This window comes from Homo sapiens, chromosome X, assembly GCF_000001405.40.
Source record: "Homo sapiens chromosome X, GRCh38.p14 Primary Assembly".
Lineage (NCBI taxonomy): Eukaryota > Metazoa > Chordata > Mammalia > Primates > Hominidae > Homo > Homo sapiens.
The window spans coordinates 32,340,408-32,361,653 of NC_000023.11; the positions used below are offsets into that span (position 1 = coordinate 32,340,408).

Consider the following 21,246-nt stretch of genomic DNA (forward strand, 5'->3'; position numbering starts at 1 on the left):
ATGCTTCCTTTATTTCACCAGTCATTATTACGTTGTACAAATATTTGTTGAGAGCCTACTATGAATAGGGACATAATGGCATTTTAAGTAAGTGGTTTATGGAGATTTTTGATCCTGTGCCTATTTAGCCATAAAGCATTAGCAACTTGATTAGTTTGTAACGAATTTTAAACCTGCATATTGGGTGTGTCAAGACCTGGGGAAAATTGGAATGGAGAAATGAGTTAGTAGTCAGATAATTCAAAGCAAAGGACTCCCCCTTGAATGATCTATTAAATTGAGGTGAAACTATTTTATTAGAATTTTCTTTTTGATTGCCTTAATCTTTCGCTTCATTTTGCATCTGCAGACACAGGCTTGCTGGTTAGTGTAAGGTTATTTATGACACATTACATTCATAACATCTAATATGAAGGATAATAGGCTGAAACATTCAGCCAGGTGGAATTAGACTTCACATGCAATACAGTTTCGCTATTTCTCGTATTCTTCCAATTGCTCAGAATAATTCACCTGCTATTAAACTTTAGGGTATTAGATTTAACAGAAAACAGTGTATTTATTAATTTTCTTGAAGTATTAAAAGAAGTCACAATAATATGCAACATACTTCCCTTATATGCTTATAAAATTAAGTTATGGTAACTGCTTTTGACATTTTAAAAATATACACCAAATTAAATGGAACTGACACTATCACAGAAGAAGTTCCCAAGAAGTCTCATACATGGGCTGAACCCTATGCAGTTATTATTTACATAGGGCAAAATGGTTGAGTATCTGTTTGATTCATATAATTCAACCTAACTTAACTATAAAGACTTAGTTTCCAGATTTTGACATCCTGGTTTTGTGAGGAGTACTTTCTTCTATAATTACAGATGATGATCATTCCTCTTCATCTTACAAGTGTTAATAATAGGAACAAAAATGTACCTGTCAGAAAACCTCTATGGTTTATACCTACTACAAATAAAGAAGTGAGACCAAGCTAACAATTCTGAATCGCCTTTTTAAAGAGAGAACCATACACTTTCCATTCAGTTGTTTGAAAGAAGAGCAGTCACTCCTTTTTGTTTTGGCTGGTAACATTTCAGTAATAACATTATCTGATATTGTTCAATCTGCAATCAATTAGCAACCATCTTACTAGGCATCCAGTTCTTTTATGGGCACTGTAACCCATTAAGTAGTTAAACCAGGTGTGAGGATTAAGCTATTATTCTTCAAGTCAATGAGATAATGGCTTATGCAGGTTGACATAAGATGTACCATGAAATATTTATTATTTATCATGTATACATTAAGAAAGTAAAATCAGCATGGGATGATCTCAGGAAAGCAATACATATTTTTTGGATTAGACATTGAAGTAAAGTGAATGTATGATAAATTGACAAATTAACATTGCCAATGTTATGAAAAATGATGTAGCAAAAAAAATTAAGATGTATTTTCATTTTTGATAAGGGGTTTTCCCTGTTATCTGTTAATTTCTTGTGTCTTTAATTGGCAAAATTAAGCACTAGTGTTACAGAAGCCCAAAGTGAGGGAAACCACTCACTTTCAGAATGTACATTAGAAGTTTAAAACTGTACCCAGATTTTTTGTCTCTTTTTTTTTTATTAGTAGGCCTCTGTTAATAGAGTAGTAGTTGCAAACACATACGTGGGTTTGCCAGTAACAACTCACAATTTGTGCAAAGTTGAGTCTTCGAAACTGAGCAAATTTGCTCTCAATTTCCCGCCAGCGCTTGCTGAGCTGGATCTGAGTTGGCTCCACTGCCATTGCGGCCCCATCCTCAGACAAGCCCTCAGCTTGCCTACGCACTGCATTCAGCTCCTCTTTCTTCTTCTGCAATTCCCGATCAATTTCCTATTGAGCAAAACCAATACAGGGCCCAGGGCAGTTAGCTAACCACATCAACCGACTTGCAAGCAGCAAATACTTCTCTCAAAATTTCAAAGGCTGTTGTCCCTTTATTGTCATCCTTTGAAGTTTACAAATATGAAAGGCATGACTGTCATCCTCGCTCAATAACCCAAATATTATTTCAGTTATCCTTTGAATGCTTGGTTTTAGATATTCTAATTAAGTAAATATTGAAATTGGTCTAACATTTTCTTTCTTCTAAATTCCTCTGGTGTCTTGGGATTTGAAACAATTTGGAGTGATAACTCATTATTTATTAGGGACCGTCCACATAGAATATAATTTAGAGGGTAAGTGAATAAGTTATTTATTTCCTTTTTAAAGGTTTGAGGAACTCAACAGAGAATGAAGCAAAATAAAAAGTGTAAAATAATAACAGAAAAAAACATATTTAGACAATATGCAAATAAATCTATAGAGAGTGAACACTGATGTGTGAAGATGCTCTGATGAAATGAATGGGCTAACATGAGTAAGAAGTCGTCCATATACCGATAAGTCATTAGTTCATCTGGAACAAAGATACACAAAGTCAATTACAATTTTACCAGAAAACACATCACATTTCTTAAATCACTTTACATAGTCTAAAACATTTTATTCATTCAACATTACGTCAATTGAATAACACTTAATACAATACATTTACTGAAAACAACACACAATACAAGGAAATGCATCAAATCAAAGAGAACGTTAATAGAAACAAGAACATCAACATTTTAAATATGATCTTCACAGGTTAATTAAACTGTATAATAAAATCTGGTATTGACATTCTAAAACAACATTACCTTTATTTTCCTTTCATCTCTGGGCTCAGGTAGGCTGGCTAATTTTTTTTCAATGTCATCCAAGCATTTCAGGAGATCATCAGCCTGCCTCTTGTACTGATACCACTGATGAGAAATTTCTAGAGCCTTTTTTCTTCTTTGAGACCTCAAATCCTGTTCATGGTGCAGACATTATTAAAATATCAATATATATGTATAGTGCACTTCTGGCTGCAGTTATTTATCAAAATAATTTGCGTCCCTCATCTTTTTGTACAACTTAGGTTAAAATCATATTTAAATGCAAAATATACAAAGACATAATTAAATTGCCTATGCATGAGGCGGGACCCATGTATAGGAAGCTAAGAAACCTGAATAACACACTTAAAGTATTTTCTCTTAGCATGTTCAAACTTGCTTAAAAATTTTGTCACATTCAATTGACTCTTAATGAGCTAACTGTTGTGTAGTTTATGTGCAAGAGTTTAATATACGAATACAATTGACTTAACTAGATACAAACTCACAAACCTAGTGAGTTTGTATCTGACTTAAAATAGGTAAAATTCTAAAATGTATATCTTTAGCCTTGGGGCTCATCAACAAAACTTTATGTACTCAACCAATATACATTCATGTTTTTAGAAATGCCTACATAAGAGTTTCATAGGCCATTAATATTTTATGATTAGAAATATAAAGCCATTTTAGTTGTCTTATAAACTGTTCCAAGCTGTATGTGTAGAAGTGTCACCACTGTTCGTATATTGGTGAACATAACTAATAAAAAATTATGTGAGATAAATGCTTCTCCTTCCAAGGCTTGCATAGCCACATTTATCTTACTATACCAAATCATGCTCTAAATGCAAAACAATTAACTATTTGAAAAAAGAAAACAGCAAGTGCATGCTTTCAAATCAATGTGATAAGACTAATTTAATAAATCAACAATGGGAGGAAATCAGTCATCATGCTCTTTACAAGCACACTCAATATCTTCTGTGATTAATAGAATTACTCAAAATGCCATTTTATAATTCATGGGAACATAAGCTCTGCATGCAGCTTTCATTTCTACAGAAAGTAGCAATTAGGGTTTTATTCACAGGTTTAATTCGAGCGAAAAAATAATAAATATCAGGGAATTTCTAAAAATTTCATTCCATTGGAAAATTTTGACCTTCTCTAAAATATTTCATAAGGACCAGAATTGGAACTATTTGACAGGTTTAAAAAGTTATTGAATATGTTGGTATAGATTGGTTTGGCGAGTAGTGTTGACGATTTTGATTAATCACTTATAGCCTGTATTTGCAAGAATGAACTACATTTCATTATCTAGTTTGTTTAAAATTGGGAATTTAAACCTTGCTGTACTTTATGTTTTATGTTGAATTTTCAAACCTTCTGAGGAGTCAGATCGAACGCTGCTTTTTTCAAAGGTAGCAAGATACAGCCACGTGAATTAGAGTTGAGCCATGCCTTATTTGTGACATAACTCACATCTTTGCCAGGAGAAAGGGCTTGGTGGTCATCAATCTGAAACATCTTTCATTTCCTAAGCACAAAGTGATGTATAATATGTAAAATATTTAGAGATGTCATGTAGATTTCTTTAGAGGAATGCCAGATGACCATTAAACACTGCTATTCAGTAGGACACACACCATCATACGACCAGTGTAGATACTTCTGAAAGCTTGCTCACAGTTGGAAGGGTGTGAGTTACATAGCGTTCCGATTTTCTAGACACATTATGGTGTGCTTTTGCACTCCCTCGAGGAAGAGGCCTTTTCTGTTTACTATATTTATCAGCAGTTACCTTCAGAACACCTGCTGGCCAATTAGACTTTCCTTGTGGATTCCTTGCAGGCACAATATTGTGTAATTACATTCTCAGCAGTGTTTATTTGGTTGACTATAGGGGGAAAGGTTTTATTCTCTTATTTGCATGTAGAAAGCAGACTCCATCTACCTGCTAGGTGGATCCACCTTCATAACTACATAGCTCAAAAGAGTGATTTACAAGGAAAAGCTCAGCAATTAAAAGTATTAGAAAATCAGCCATGCATGCAAATAGTGATTATTGCAAAGCATATACAAAAAAAAAGTTTCACAAAACTTTCCACATGTCTAGTCTCAAGAACTTCCTAGATATTATTATAGAAAAATTAAGTTTATCCTGCTCTTCCTGCACAAACCAGATGAGTCACCTGGGGACTTGAAGCCATACACTACACTGCTTAATATGAAAGTAGCAGTTCTTATTCAAGGGCACTAAGATTATTTTTTAGGATTCCTACATAAATGAAATTTGACTTTGTAGATAGTTGCAAAGAGTGACTTTCTTAAAGGCATAATAAAGTTTTAAAAATAAATAAAAGAATCTAGGGCTTATTAAACAAGTATCAGGTTACCAAAAAATTGGACCTAATGCAAGCAAAATCAATTAAGTAAAGAAAGCAGGAATAATGGATACATGTAGATCGGTTATTCTGGCAGTTAGGCAGGTTTTTTTCAATATAAAGTAGCTGATAAAAATAAAGCACATTAGAAAATTAAATGTATAAGTACTATGAATGCATTCCCATCTTTCAATTACTACTTAGAAAAATATGTCTTTAAAAAGCCATAACTTTTAAGCAACACATCGTTCAAAATCAAATACCACTCAAAAATGTTAAATAAAGCATACACATTGAACAGAAAAAGTGAGTTTCTGATGACTAAGTCTGAAGCAGATTTTATTAATGCACATTATATTTTACCCTATATATTAAAAAAAAACCACAGGCAAGGTATATTATAATTTTAGCTCTAATACCTTGAGAGCATTATGTTTTGTCTGTAACAGCTGCTGTTTTATCTTTATTTCCTCTCGCTTTCTCTCATCTGTGATTCTTTGTTGTAAGTTGTCTCCTCTTTGCAACAATTCTTTTACAGTACCCTCATTGTCTTCATTCTGATCAAAAACAACAAGTACAGTCTTCATTTTGGTTTTTAAAAAGCTGTACATTGTTAACAGAGATAATAAGACATGTTATTTAAACACACACAAAAATCCAATTTAAAACTTTCATGGAATGCTATTATAAGATACTGTGCTCATAGCCTTTCTTTTACATTTGGTACTTGAGGTTTCAAAATAAGTTTCCTCCCATCTAGTTGTAAAGAACACATTTTTAGGGGCACCTGTAGAAAGATGGGGGAGTGTGGTACTTCATCATGTCAGACAAGTCATGAATTACTGTGAAAGTATTCTTTTGGCTTTTTTAGTGTAGTTCTAGAAATTAAAACATTAGAGAAATGAGCTAAAGTTATCATTTATAATGTTAACTGATCCATAAAGGAATACAGATGTGTATTTGTGACTGAGATAACAGCAAATCTGAAAATATTAACACACAACTACATGAAAATATTTTGATTTAAATGTACACTAATTCCTATCTAATAACTCCTGCTTCATTTCTGAAACCTAAATGCTCAATATTAATAGGAGAAATATCAGGATATTAATAAAAATCATGTGCTAAGTTACCATCAAATAATTTCTAAAATATGTCATATATGCATGTTAATTTAAATACGATCAAATAATACTAAAATATGGACTGGAAAATGGCTTTAAACATTTTCAATGGGTATTTTGTTCCTTTAGGCTGCAAGAACAATATCTTAATTTTCTTTACTTAGAAATAAAATGTTTTGAATAAATGCTGGTCTAATATAGTCGCATATATGACCATGTGATTTTTCACCTTTAGTTTTCTTTCTTTCAACTCAGAATGTGAAAACTTTGTATCAAGTAGTCTCACATTGTAATGGTACTCAAGGTACACTGATGACATAAGGAAAACAAATAATAAATTTCAAAAGTCACAAGTATTTGTATGTGTGTATTACAATTCAAGGAATTAGATGTTATATATTTAAATCTATAATGCATAAACTTCAACACGCAACTGAGGACTGATTCATTTTGTATGGGGGAAAGGGATTATTTTTGTCAGAGACTGGTCAATAATCTAAAGAAACATACGGCATAATATAGACACATTATATACTTATCATAATATAGACACATCATATACTTATAGTCTGTAAAAGACTTTACTTATTTTAAAAGGTGTTGTAAAAGTCTGTAGCATTTTCTAGGGCTGAGGACAAAAACAACAAAAAATTAAAAAACCCACTTCACTTCTTTCCCTATACCAGTTGAGGGCTCTAGGGCAGAGTTGGGGTCAGCCCAAGAGGTAATCAGTACTTTTTTTCATCTTGGTGCCCTCTAGTTTCTTCTTTGACCTGAAGTAGAGATTGCTGTAACTCAGCAACTTGGAAAGCCTCTTCCGTCTTTCCACAAGCTGAGTTGGCAAGGCCACCAAACCCCATACATGGGGAGTATTGATTGAGGCAGCTCCAGGAAGTGGGAACTAAGATTGGTGGGAATAGTTCTCCTATTGCTTCACACACTTATTACCTAAAATTTATATATTGTCTTCTGATGTCACTTTCAAGCATTGTCTGAGAAGGCTCTAGCACTGGTAATTGTAAAGGTTAAGAATGCCACAGAGGTGATGGCAGTGAAAGAGGGGAAAAAATTGTGAAAAGGAGGATGAAGAGAGAAAAAAAAAGTCAGTTAATAAGGATGTGATGTACAAATATTCAAGCCAGAGAGAAATGTAGTAGATACTTTGAAATTAGTTGGGATTGAAGGAGAATATTCTGAGGTTGGGAAGAGCACACATGGTCATATTTCTTTACTCCCATGAAATAAGCAGCATGAATTTATACACATTTTAGACATATAATGTACTAACTAAACAACTATTTGGTAAAACAACTTTGTGGGAAATTGTAATAAATAATGTTCATATTATGCATTATTCTCTCTTCATTGAAATAAATGTTATACTACCAAAAACATTGCTGATACAAAATGTCAGTCATCTATGATAGTTGAGTATTTTATTAAATTTTTAGTTTATTTTATGATTCGACTCTTTTTTCCAATTACATTTTGCCCTTGATAAGTTCAAAAGTAGGTCAGGTCAAAAGAAAATTGCTGGGCTATTTATTAGAAACCGTAAGTGCTCCTATATTACCATACCATAGTAATTCAGCATTTGTAATAAAAGGCCAAGAATATTCTGCATTTATAAAATTCATTAGAATCATAAAATGTGTAATATGTGCTCTGAAAATTCAGTTGGAGACTTATCTAAGTTCTTTCCAAATATTTATTTCCACTCCTAGTTCATTCACACTTTTATCACAACCAATTTACCATATCTTTATTGAAGTCTTCCTCTTTCAGATTCACCCCCTGCTGAATTTCAGCCTCCAGTGGTTCAAGCAATTTTTGTATATCTGAGTTAAACTGCTCCAATTCCTTCAAAGGAATGGAGGCCTAAAAAAAAAGATAGTGCTACTTTAAATCAAAATTACTTTTTATTAGAAACATAAACCAAAAGAAATACATTTATTCAACCTCCTGTTGCTAAACTAATCACATGCATTATGTTTCCATATTATGTTTTATGAAGGGTTTTGAAATACAACTGGAAAAGTACCTGAGGATGCAAATAAGGAGAAACATTTCACATCACCAGAGCTGAACATACATGCAAGATAGTACAATTCATCATTTGGTGATATCAACAACAGTCAATTTACAGATACATTTGAATGGGCTAATTTTTAATATTCTAAAGTCAAATTTGACCTTATTTTAAATATTCTGATATAAATACATTTGGGTAAATATGTCTCATCAGAAATTGCCTCATTTATCAAGTAACAGTAACCTCAGGTAGAAATGCAGAATTGTCATCTTATCCTTAGAAAAACTACATGGCAATCTGCTCAGATGTTTTAAATGACATTTTTAGCACAGCACAATTGACAGGCATGCTCTTCTAAGACAATGCCATTAGCTTGCCTTAGGAACAGTTTGGTTGGTGATGCAAATAAATTCAAACGAATGAACCTAATATATTTCACATAAAGAATCTATGCTTTTCAACCTTGTAAACATCAGTTTCTTTACTTTTGAACTGATAATGACCAGTCTAAGAAAACTTTAAAATCTCTTGACTTTCTAAACAAAACCCTTGAAAAGGAGTGATAAGTGAAAAGACATGGAAAATCAAATATATATTCAAAAAAGTGGGCAAGGTTTAGTTATTAGATTAAAATTCTGTTAATAAAATACATTGATACTCTCTCAATCTTTATGCTGTATTTCTTTCCATTAAAACACTAGAACATATTTTATATGGGATAGCTCTTGAAAACCCATAGATGACATACAGAAATCTGATTTTCTTTCAGAGCTAAAACATTTTACTTTTGTAAAACCAATTCAGGAATGACCCCCGTGTCTTTTGCCAAGACGATTACATTCATCAAGTTTGGTCCCCACCTACCCTTCTCCAGTCACATTCCCAGGAAGAGGTTGAATTTTTATTAGATGGCAACTTCTGGTGAACAATACGGATAAGTGTAGAAGAAAAACTAAATATCTAAAGGTAATAATCTGTCACTATTGAAGAAGTGAATAATCAAATTCTATTCATGATGACATGATTCTCATATGCAACATGAATAACCACATATCTTCTAGGTACTTCTACACACCCCTGAAAGATTTATGAGATAATTTTAAGTGACCTATTACAGTACCAGTTTTTAAATCCTAATGATCATTTGCCATTTGAAATATCATAAGTTATTTGAACCAGTATAGATTGGTAGTGGTACAAACATGCTTAAAGTTTCAATGTCTGTATTATTAGCAATTACGGTACAATAAAATCATACACTGTTTAGATGACGGTAAAAGTAAAAAGATTAACAACCCTTAGAATCATAACTATACAATTATCAATTTGGTGATATTTTATGTTATTAAATGGTTGTTCACATTTGCTAATATTTAATGAAAGCAACTATGTTCTATGTGATTTTGTGAATACATAATGATAATGTTGAAAATAACTTTTATTGTGTACTTGGATGTCAGAAGAACATAGGTCTATTTACAGTCAGATTTACCTGTTTTATTCCAACTGCTTCTTCTCTAGCTCATCTCTCCATGAATTTAACTTCTATTAATTTAAGATACAATTTTCTACGAATTTAACAATTTTTTATGCCTTCCAAGTCTTCACCCTAAGCTGTTATCTGACTTTTGAATTCCCATCTAGACTCTCCAATAGCCAGCTGAATTTTCACCTGAAGTTTCACATTCCTAGTATGGAGCACATTATCTTTCCCGCAAACTGCTTACAATACTAACTTCCCTAGTTCTCTTAATGGAAGACCATTTCTCTCAGTCATTCAGGCGTAAAACGTAAGTCATGCTATTTTTGAACATCTCACTCTAATGTCTAATAAATATCAAGTAAGTGTCAATTGACTTGCTATGATCCACTTGCTTTGTATTCCCAGAGACTCCATCGTTCCTGGTCCTTACACAAAACTAAGGCAATAAGCTTTGAAAAGATGTAAAATCTCCTTTCAGTCAAACCAGTTCCAGCCTGTGCCCAATGATCAGCTTACTATGTTTCAAAAACCTTTCTTTCATTATGCTATTTATTTGCTGAAGAACCTCCTGCATCTATTGAGTATAAATAGAATAAAGTCCAACCTCCAGCACAGTAGTCAAGGCTTCTCCTAATCTTGCCCCAAAGACTTGCCAGCCTTATGTAAGTGTTCCTAATATAGACCTTTTTTTGCAGGCCATTTGGTGATCTTCTGTTATGCCTCCTTCAATGACCTTAGAATACTTTTCATCTTCTAGTGAAGAACATAAACTTCTGTATGAAAATGCATAGATTGAATCTGGGCTCTACCATTTACTAGCTGAGGGAACTTAGACAAGTTATTTATCCTCATTGAACCTCAGTTTCTTTATAACATGGAGATAAGATGAATATCTACCTCACAGGGCTATTACTAAGATCAAATATGTTAGAATGGTGTCTGGTATATAATAAAAGCTTAATAAATGTTGACTATTATTTTCTCTCAAACTTCTATGTGTCCATCCAATATAAATACATGCTCTATAAATCTTGGGTCTTATTTTGATCCTCTCAAAATCCTAATCATCCATTGGCTCAGGTCAAGCCCTTCCTCCTTTGAAATCTATGGTTTTAAAGGATAAAATACATGCTTATTGATATAATGAGTCTTTATTTTACCAAGGGATTTGATGAAATCATAACATTGTAATGGTGAACATGGAGGATTTTAGATTCCAGTTTGGTAGAGTTACATAATCCTGAAGAACAAAACTACAGATTAATTTATCTGCGGCAATATAAAAAGTGATATCACAGCCTTGCATTTAGTTTACAGGGTGCAGTTTTTTTTTTTTAATCAGGAATTATTTGGAGACAGAAAAGGCATACCACAGATACAGTCAGTGGGGTGTGTTCCCTAGACATCCTATGGAGCTGAGTTTCTCATGTTCAACCTACAGTCATTTCTGGTACATAGTAAATATTCATAAGTAAATATTTCCTGAAAAAATAAATGAACAAAAGACTAAAAATTGAGGGCCAAAATAGACATTTCAAGGAGCTTTTTTAGTGACATGGAATTTTAAATAACACAATTTCTATGTAGAAATGTCAAAAGACCTGACTGGTTAGCATTATATGAGTATGTATATTAACTGCTGCCCAAATGCTAAGCAACATGATACCACCAGGTAAACACAAAAAAGGGGGAAGATGTAAAAAGAGCTTTGGGAGAGACTACCAAAAACTGAAGTGCTAATTATTCAGGCAAGATAATGGAAACTTAGACTTCTTTAGTTCAATGTGTAGGGTCTAAATTTTCCAATGAAAGACTACCGTGCATTTTGTTTAAAAAAATTAGGAAGATTAAGAATTTGAGTAGTTTTATTTTGTGTAGTTTCAAAGTGATTAACTAAAATCAGTGGGCAAAAATTATTTGGAGCCTAAATTTTAGGTTTATATAAGAACAACTGATGAGGACTGCAATTTTTTTAAAAACACTGATTTTCAAGTAATGCTAAATGTTTATAAGCAGAGACTAGATGAGGATGTATTCAGTCACATTTTAGGAACAAAATCCTTTTCACACAGACATTTTCTTAAAATTTTATAACCTTACAGTAAGTTCTTGTCTCTAAATTCAAGTAGAACTTTTATAGTAGTGCAGCTCAATAGAAATATAATACATGCCATATATGTAATTTTAAATATTCTAGTTGCCATAGTAAAAAACAAAAAACAGATAAAATTAATTTTACTGATTTCACTGAGATGTCCAAATTATTGTATAAACTCATAATCAATACAAAAATATGAATATTTTACATTTTATATTCTCTTCAAAACCCACACATATTTTACACTTATTTATAAATCTTAACATGGAGTAGCCAAATTTCTAAAGCTCAGTGGCCACATGTGGTTCATGACCACCTTATTAGGCAGTATAGAGCTCTATTAACCATTATACTCATAACATTGTAAAGAACTAATATCTCATAATTACTTTGAATAAAATAGTAATGTTTTGTTTATAACTTGTGGTGAATTTAGATTATTCTTACGTCGGTCTTATTATCTTGCATTATGTGTTCTGAGTGAAATTTTCAGGCAGTCCTCGGGGTATAGGAAAAATTACGGGAGTGGGATTGACCTGTTATTTCAGGAGTTTCTATTCTCATTTATGTGTATCTCAGCTTGTGTTGCACTGCTTTCTTATAGACAGGAATATAATATTATTTGGCTTTCAAAGATATATGCTTGTCTCTCTAAATAAATTTTCCATCCTTAAAGTTGGCAATATGTCTTATACTACTCTATTTTCCAGTGAAAACACTGCCTTTTATTTTATACAGGAAAAGGTGCTTATTATATCAATCGGTAGTTTTAGAACTACCTATATATTAATTTAATCAACCAGTGACCAATTTTATAACCAAAATAAGTTTATCAAACCAATTGTTTTAGCTATGTTATTGGCAAGATAGCACCAGCCATTTGACAGCCATATGATTAATAGTCTTTGGACACAAAGAGATGAAAAAAATTCATTGCTTTTCTTAAGAGTTCACTAGTTCAGCATTAGGCTATGCCCATTCTAAAACAGAAAACACTTTCCCACCCAATTAAAATTCTACATGTCATTCCTTGGTCTTCCCTGTCTTTGTAACTTGGAATTCTTATGCAACTTTATAAAGGAAACATGTAATAAGAAAGCGTTTATAATTTAACAGCTCATTCTTGAGTCACCAAATTTTAAAACACAAAGTATATCATGCCTGCTTTTCAATTCAGAATTATGATAAATTGTCTAAAACAGTTGAAAGCAATGGCTGATAAATCATCTTAATTATTGGGTAAGTTACTTCTATTGACTTTAAAGGAAATAGATGACCACAAAAGAACTGGAATCACAATTAAATCACACAATGTTAGACAGTGCACACAAAATAGGTTTTAGTTATATAGAAAATAATCAAACAAAAGTTATAATATTGCATGAGAAAGTGTATACCAAGCATAGGTTTTGGACACTTTTAATTTTTTACTTACCTTTTCATTTTAAGAGCTTTAGCATGACTGTGCAGTCATACAAAATACATATAAATTAGAAGACAGGGAAGTATAATAAATGGATAAATGGACACATAAAGAAGAGACAGAGAAACCGAGAAAGACAACACTTTGTTTTCCTTGATTTTTTAATGTTTCAAATTGCTTAACAACTATTAATTGTGCTTTGTTGGATTATTTAAGGATTAATGAAATTTAAGGCTTTGTTGAAGTTTTGGCATTAAAGCTGAATTTTATAACAAGTTAACAAAGGATAACAGACTGAAGAAAAGCAAGATCAATTACAAACTGATTCATTGTAAATTGAAAGCATTCAAAATTACTCAGATACACTTTATTAGTTTTAAAATGTAAGCTTTCCTTGGTTAAATATTACTTTGGCATGCACAGATACACTAGCATAATAACGACTGTGTTTACACAGACAGCAAGTAAACATTTGTTAATCTGGACTATGGAATCTTAATAATCATGATAAATTACCACTATATTCAAATCACACTAAAACCTAAATTGAAAATAAATAATCCAAGTGCTACAGATTGGTTTAAAATTGCTTCAAATCCATCAGTCTCCTTTTTCCATTCTGCAGCTTTGAAAATTTATTTATCATTACAATATTGATATAGAAAAATAAAGAATTCATGGAAACCAAGATGAAAAATTTCAAGGACAAGTAACACACTATAGTACAGAAAAGACAGACTACTGATATGATATGAAGAGTTATTTCACATCATTCTATCTGTAGAGGAAAAGAACTTACAAAAACAAATAAGTGTATTGGAAAGATACTACATCTATGCTAGAAGAAAGATTATTTAAAATATGGTTTATAAACTTATTTATTCTATTATTTTAAAATTATTAGAGCAAACAAGAAAATGTAAGAAATATTATTTTTAAATTAAATAAATTGACTCCAAATAGTGACATTTCATTGGTTGCATTCTTTTGAGAATAGATAAAGTACTGGTTTACCTTTAATGCTTTGATAATAAAAATGTGAAAATGTGACTAATTTGTGAGGCTAATTAGAGGATATTACCCAGTAGATTTCAATTGATTTTGTATGGATGAGGTTAATTTCATGCTTACACATTTTAAAACTGGATGCAAAATATATTCGTGGGTCAAGAATCTGCTTCCTACTGTCGACCTTTTATAAAGTTTAACTTAGAATATTGCCCTATTTCATGATTACATGACTTTTTGGAGTAGGAAATGAATTAAAAGAGGAAAACATTTAACTCTAAAATGTATGGGGGAGACAGACAAAAGTAAAAACATAACACTTTAAGCAATTTTGTATTTTAAACTTTCTTTTCATTTACTTAGGTTGTTTTCCAGTTTTATTTCTTCCATTCCCCCTTCCTTCTTCCATTTCTTCCTCCCTACCACCTTTTGTTCTTGTCATTTTTAATACAAAAAGTATAACGAAATCACTGTATTTGAAGTGAAATTGGGTATGTTTATACTAACACATAGTAGACCAACAAAAACTACTTTATGACATAAATAGAGGCAGTAAACTATGCTGAGTCAGTGTATTGAAGTGGACAAAGCAATGGACTGAGATCTAGTATTTGCTAACCACACTGTCTAACTGTGAGAACTTGGTCAACTCACTGACACTCTCACAACCTCCTATAAATATCTGAAAGTCTCTGGTCCAAAGCAAAATTGCTTTACATCTACTGACACTGATCAGGGGACTAATTTTCCTTTATCAAAGGAGAACAATCAAGATTCACCAAATAGCTTTAATTATTTCAAATGTTATGCTAACAAGACCCAGATAGTTTTATCAAATGACACTGCTCACCAAACTCAATTACACATCTACTTTAAAAATATTTTACATGGTTACCAAAGGGATTTATTAGCGAAGTTTCAATGGACTTAACCTTGTTATAGGGATAACCAATTACACATGTGGAAAAAATAAGCTAACATAAGAATTATGTTGTTAGGTTCATATTTTTCTGATTCATTTTAGTAAAATAAAATTTGCAGATATTATACAGTTTGACTAGTGATCTGTTACTATTACCTGAAGATATTAGTTGTAAATATTACATATTTAATGCTCTACAAATTATGCAATATTTACAAGTCTTCATCTCAGTTTTCATGTTTTTATAGAAAATTTTACTAAAAATGAATATCTATATACCTACAATGTACCTACAAAAATTAAAAAAATTAAAATTTAAAGAATATATATAGCAAGAATACTGTTCCAATTAAGATACAATATTATTTTCCATCATAGGTGTTAAGTTATAATACGATCAGAAAGAGACTGCAAAATATCAATGTATTTGCATTGATAAATCTGACTACAGAAAATTAAGCTTTAATTAAAAATTTTCAATCCAATACATCTTCATTGGACCTTCTAGATCACATTTATAAAATGCATCATTTATTTCCCACCGAAGTTTAGGAGAGCCAAAATAATTAAATCACTGCTTAATTATTTTCCACACATAGAACCATATTTTAAGATAGATTAGGCCCAATCATGTGTTTCTTTTTCTTATATATTCTACATTACATGGGAAGGTCACTGACTCTCTCACAGCCTCCTATAAACTTGTGAAAGTCTCTTATCCAAAGAATGATTACTTTTATATCTTCTGACACTGAATGGAAGTAAAAAAAAAAAAAAAAAAAAAAAAAAACTTGGTAATTTACAATTATTGCAGCAATCAAACAATGAATATTTAAGTATTTGATGCCCGATTGTCCAAATCTCATATTACAGTTGTAATACATATATATAGAAACTGCTACATGAATTTTAGCAGCAATTTTCAAGGCCTATATGGAAATTAAAGAACATATGCCAGATATATCCTATAGCAAATAAGTCTTAGTAAAGGATCAAAGTCAGAGAAAATAATTTCACTTTTTTCTGGTTAGTATCAATTTCAGAATAAATAATTTAACATTTCAGCTCCTTAGAACAGTGAAGTATATCTAAATCTCTAGAAAAATACAATCTAAGCAAATTTTATGTAGAAATTACATAATATTTTGTAAAAAGTAAAATAATTGCCTTTATTAATATGACACACCTAAAGTTTGTTTAGTCAAAATTATTTTGCAGCTAAGTATTACAACAATAAAAATATAACTTGATGCATATTTTATTATTGAAATTTTTTTTAATTTTTATTTTTGAGATGGAATCTCACTCTGTCGCCCAGGCTGGGGTGCAGTGGTGCGATCTCGGCTCACTGCAACCTCCGCCTCCCGGGTTCAAACAATTTCCCTCCTCAGCCTCCCAAGTAGCTGGGATTACAGGCGCCCACCACCATGCCCAGCTAATTTTTGTATTTTTAGTAGAGAAGGGGATTTGCCATGTTGGCCAGGTTGATCTTCAACTCCTGACGTCAGGTGATCTGCCTGCAGCGGCCTCCCAAAGTGTTGGGATTACAGGCGTGAGCCACCGCACCAGGCCTATTATTGGAATTTATATGCAGACTTTCCTAGTCAATCAGAGTTAAATTTGGAGTCATTTTTGAATTCATCATCTTCTTGGGTCCTTGTATGTAATGACTTAACTCTAGGCTACCTCTAAATATCTCCGCAGCAGCAGTTCTCTAAGCGTGGTCCCTAGACCTTCAGCATCAATCTGACCTAGAAAAATGTTAGAAATGCAAACTCTTGTGCTCCACTCCAGACCTAGTGAGTCAGAAGCTCTGAGTGTGGGGCCCAGCACACTGGTTTTAACAATTCACCCAAGTGCATACAAAAGATTTACTGATCTAGACTGAAATTTCCTTTCCACTCCCATAGCTATCCCTTTTTTTGAGGTCATCAGTGTATCTCATCTAGACTACTGCAATAGCTCCCGAACTTCATGTCATTATTCAGTGGAATTCTCCTCACAACTATCACTGGACTAATTTCTCAACAGTGCATACACAGATACACACACACACACACACACACACACACACACACACACAGAGCACATCAAGAACTCTTCATTGCATACTGAATTAAGCATGAATGATTAGTCTGGCTGTCCATGACCTCTTCACACTGTGTCTAGCCATAATCTTCAGCCTTATCATCCACAACTAAGTTTTATCTTCCATGCCCTCTACTCTGAAAACTAAAGGAACTCACTCTTCATTGAACACACTGTATGCTCCTAAGCTTTCTCATATGTTTATGCCGAATTGTTACCTCCTCTGTGTTGCTGGAGTGACTGCTAAACTCACTTACCATGCACTCACTCTCAATCTAGTATCCATGAACACATCTTGCCCTATCATCAAACAGTAAGCTCCTTGAATCCATCGTATTTTACCTAGCAATAGATCCCCCTCACTACCAAACACTGTTATCGGAAAATAATATATGGTTGGTGAGAATTCATCCTGATTAATCCCTTTTCTCAAGTCTTCACTCATTAGTGCTTTTAGATATACCTCAACTAGCATCTCTCCCAAATTGCTGACTCCCCTTCTCCAACTTGGCTTCTAGAGGGATGGAGAGGGGTAGAACTGTCATAATTAATATGAATAAATAATCAGTTTATTTTTGTCTTCCCATGCCCCTTCCTATACTTTTGTCTCCTATCACCTTATTTTCCCGATGGTATCCACTTGCCCTCAGCCATGCCACTATACTCCGATGCCCTAAAACAGAGACAGTTGAGACAAGGAGTCTCTCCTCATTGATTCTGTCAATTTACTCAGGGTTCTAATATTATCTCTGATTGACTGTTGCAATTCTGATCCTCTCCATTAAAACTGCCATTTCCTCACATTGATTTCACATAGATTACGAAAAAACACGCTTTTTTCAAAGTCATTGGATACTCTTAGGTAACCTTAATAAAATGGGAAAAGGCAGCATTTTTATGTATTTTAAGGGGCGTATGTGGGACAAACATAACTCCTTAGTAGTTCTTAAATTCATCCACTTCATTATCTTTAAGGCTGGTCTTTGTCATGAAAATAGCAAAGACACGATTTTCTGACTCCAGTCGATTACAGCAGAGACCACAGAAAATCAGCAATTCTTTCATTTTTTTCCATCAGTTTTTGTCTCAACCCCCCAGATTCGGCCATTCAAGTGTAATATACGTAACGATGGAAATACCCATTGATATTAATTATTTTTAACCATTTCATATCTATACACTGATTAATACATTTTAAATGCATGTTTTTACATATATTACATAATTTGATCCTCATTACAATCTTTAGATTAAAATAAAACAGGCATCATCTCCCTTATTTTGTAGCTAGAAATGAGGCTCTGAGAGGTAAAGAGGCATATCCAAAATCACTAAGTAGTAATGTGCTCAGCTAGTGCTCAAAGCAGGTCTTGTGTCTTGAAGTTAAGGACTTTTTGCTCTCACCATACTGCTCCTTGCTGAGGCCAAAATTAACATTACAGAGAGCTGCACTTGGACAGTCAAGTCCTCAGCCAATCTGAACTGAGGATCCCTTTACTCACTGCTTTCTGGGCTTCGGAATTTCTTGTCATGAACAGTCCTGGCAGGAGACATGGGAGTACCCCACTTTGTATTCTTCACCAAATAGTAAATCTAGACACCAGTGAATTTTCAGCATAAGTTATTTCTCTATTCAAGGGCTCTTTAGAGTTATGTTCTAAAGGCTATACTGAAATTACTGATTACAAAGAGTCTATGACCTACCCGTGTTCAATCCAAATCTACTTTTTTTATCACCATAGTATTTTTTTTCCCCAGGTTACTCTTCCATGAAACTTAGACATAGACTCAACCATAGAAAAGCCATATTCTAACCTAATATTATCCTGTATAACCCCTACTATAAAGAAACCTGATTTTGAGATCAAAGGCTACCCCCTAAAACCTCCAGCACTTCAGCACTTCCCTACTCCAGAGCAAACACACACAAGACATTAAATGTTTTCAATTTCTTATTGTAATCAACAAAAGATTACTGAATAGCCAAATTTTAGAACGAGCAGGGATTTATGAACTAATCTAATTTAGAAATTTCAAACCATGTTCTATGAGCATAATTTATACTTCCTGAATTCAATCATAGGAAGGAGAAAGATAAAATGGCAGATATTTCCCCCATCTAGTAACTCTATTATTTTCCAATTTATTAATTTAATTTTAAATAATATGATTTTAATATTAAATATTTAAATTTAATACTTTATTTTAAATAATAATATTTTGGGCAGGATAGGTTTTCTTTTAAAAATTGTTAGTCTATTTTAACTTCCTCATCTTACAAACAATGAAATGGATATGCAGAAAAATCACATATTCTGGCTACTACTGAAAAAGTTAGGCCTAAATCTCAATCTTCTAAATCCACTGTTTTCTCTGGTGAGATTACCTTCTAAATCTATTGTTCTCTCTGCCGAGATCATCTCACCATTATTTGAACATCCCCATGAAGATGAATTAGTGTTAAACATATTTTATGATTATACTAAGTATTCATTTCTGTTTGAAAACATGTATTTCTTAAGCAAGGATCTTTATACCCTTGTATCTTCTCACCACAATCTCTAACACAATGGAAGCTCAATCCCATTAGCTGATGCAATGAATATATAAGCAAAGTGTCAGATATGCTTTATTTCTGTGTTTTTCATTTCATCGTGATAATAGAGCATAATTATCTCTTCAGAGCCCTAAAATGGGGTCATTGTTACACTCAGTTGCCTTTACTAATTTAGAGAAAAACAAATACTTTGAAAAGCAAACATGTGATTATTTTGTTAATTAACATATAATTGAAAATCTGGGGCCAGGCACAGTGGTTCACGCTTGTAATCCCAGCACTTTGAGAGGCCCAGGCAGGAGGATCACTTGAGGTCAGGAGTTCCAGACCAGCCTGGCCAACGTGGTGAAACCCCGTCTCTGCCAAAATACAAAAATTAGCCAGGTGTCACGGCGCCCGCCCGTAATCCCAGCTACTTGGGAGGCTGAGGCAGGAGAATCACTTGATTCCAGGAGGCAGAGGTTGCAGTGAGCTGAGGTTATGCCACAGCACTCCAGCCTGGGCAACAGAGAGAGTCTCCACCACACACACACACACAAAATAATAATAATAATAATAATAATAATAAATGAATATTCACTGGAAATTTCTTATGCCTTATGTTTCTAGGGAAAATAAAAGAAGTTCATAGAGTGGATCACTTTATGCATGATTTCCAGAAGTATACTTACAAATTCATGCAGAATGTGAAATGAAAACTCACAAACTTGTCTTGGTCACAAACTTGTATTGGCTGGGTCTGTCACATCTGTGGTGGAGAGCAAATTCTACCCATTTTTTAATATCTGTGAACCACAATCTTGTAACACAATTTATCCAAAGATAATACCTTATTTTCTCTTAAATATTCTATAGCTTAGTGATTTATTAAAATGTGCATGTGTGTGTGTCTATATCTTAGTAATGAAGTAGTAGCATTTTTTAAGGATTGAAATAAATCTCCATTCATTGTCTTGTTATTACATAAGCCATTGATATCTTTAGAAGTAAAAACAATTGTCTTTGTAAGTAACAATACATTCTTTCAAAACTTTAATCAATTTTAAGAGCCTGTCACATTTTTTTGCAGGTAATAATGACTGACTCAAATATATATATTTGTGACAGTTAACTACTAAGTTCTCTCATGCTGTCTCTCTCCATATGTAGAGAATATAGCCTTTTAAAAGTCAACTATATAAGGTCTCTATGTATGGAGAGAGAGAGTACAAGAGAACTAAGTAGTTAACTATTAAAAATAACTTGCAATGAATTAAGGTAAACTAACAACTTTTTAATTTGGGAAGGTGAATTTTGAAGGGTAACTGTGTCTCATGCATACAAGCTAAACTATTTAGAATTTATCATGTCACATTTCACTTATTTTGAAAACTACTTTAAATATGTACTATT

The 21,246-nt window shown here is 32.8% G+C and overlaps 1 protein-coding gene across 19 annotated transcripts in view; it reads right to left on the bottom strand.

The window, feature by feature from the left end:
* Positions 1-21,246, bottom strand: part of DMD (dystrophin) — a 2,220,167-nt gene that overhangs the window by 1,221,186 nt on the left and 977,735 nt on the right. For 15 of the 19 annotated variants that reach the window (XM_006724469.4, NM_000109.4, XM_006724474.4 and 12 more), the window contains 4 exon segments: positions 7,999-8,121; positions 5,536-5,673; positions 2,727-2,879; positions 1,693-1,875 (listed from right to left, as the gene is read on the bottom strand). In XM_006724469.4, the coding sequence (XP_006724532.1) occupies positions 1,693-1,875; positions 2,727-2,879; positions 5,536-5,673; positions 7,999-8,121 (597 nt within the window). 19 annotated transcript variants of the gene reach the window in all.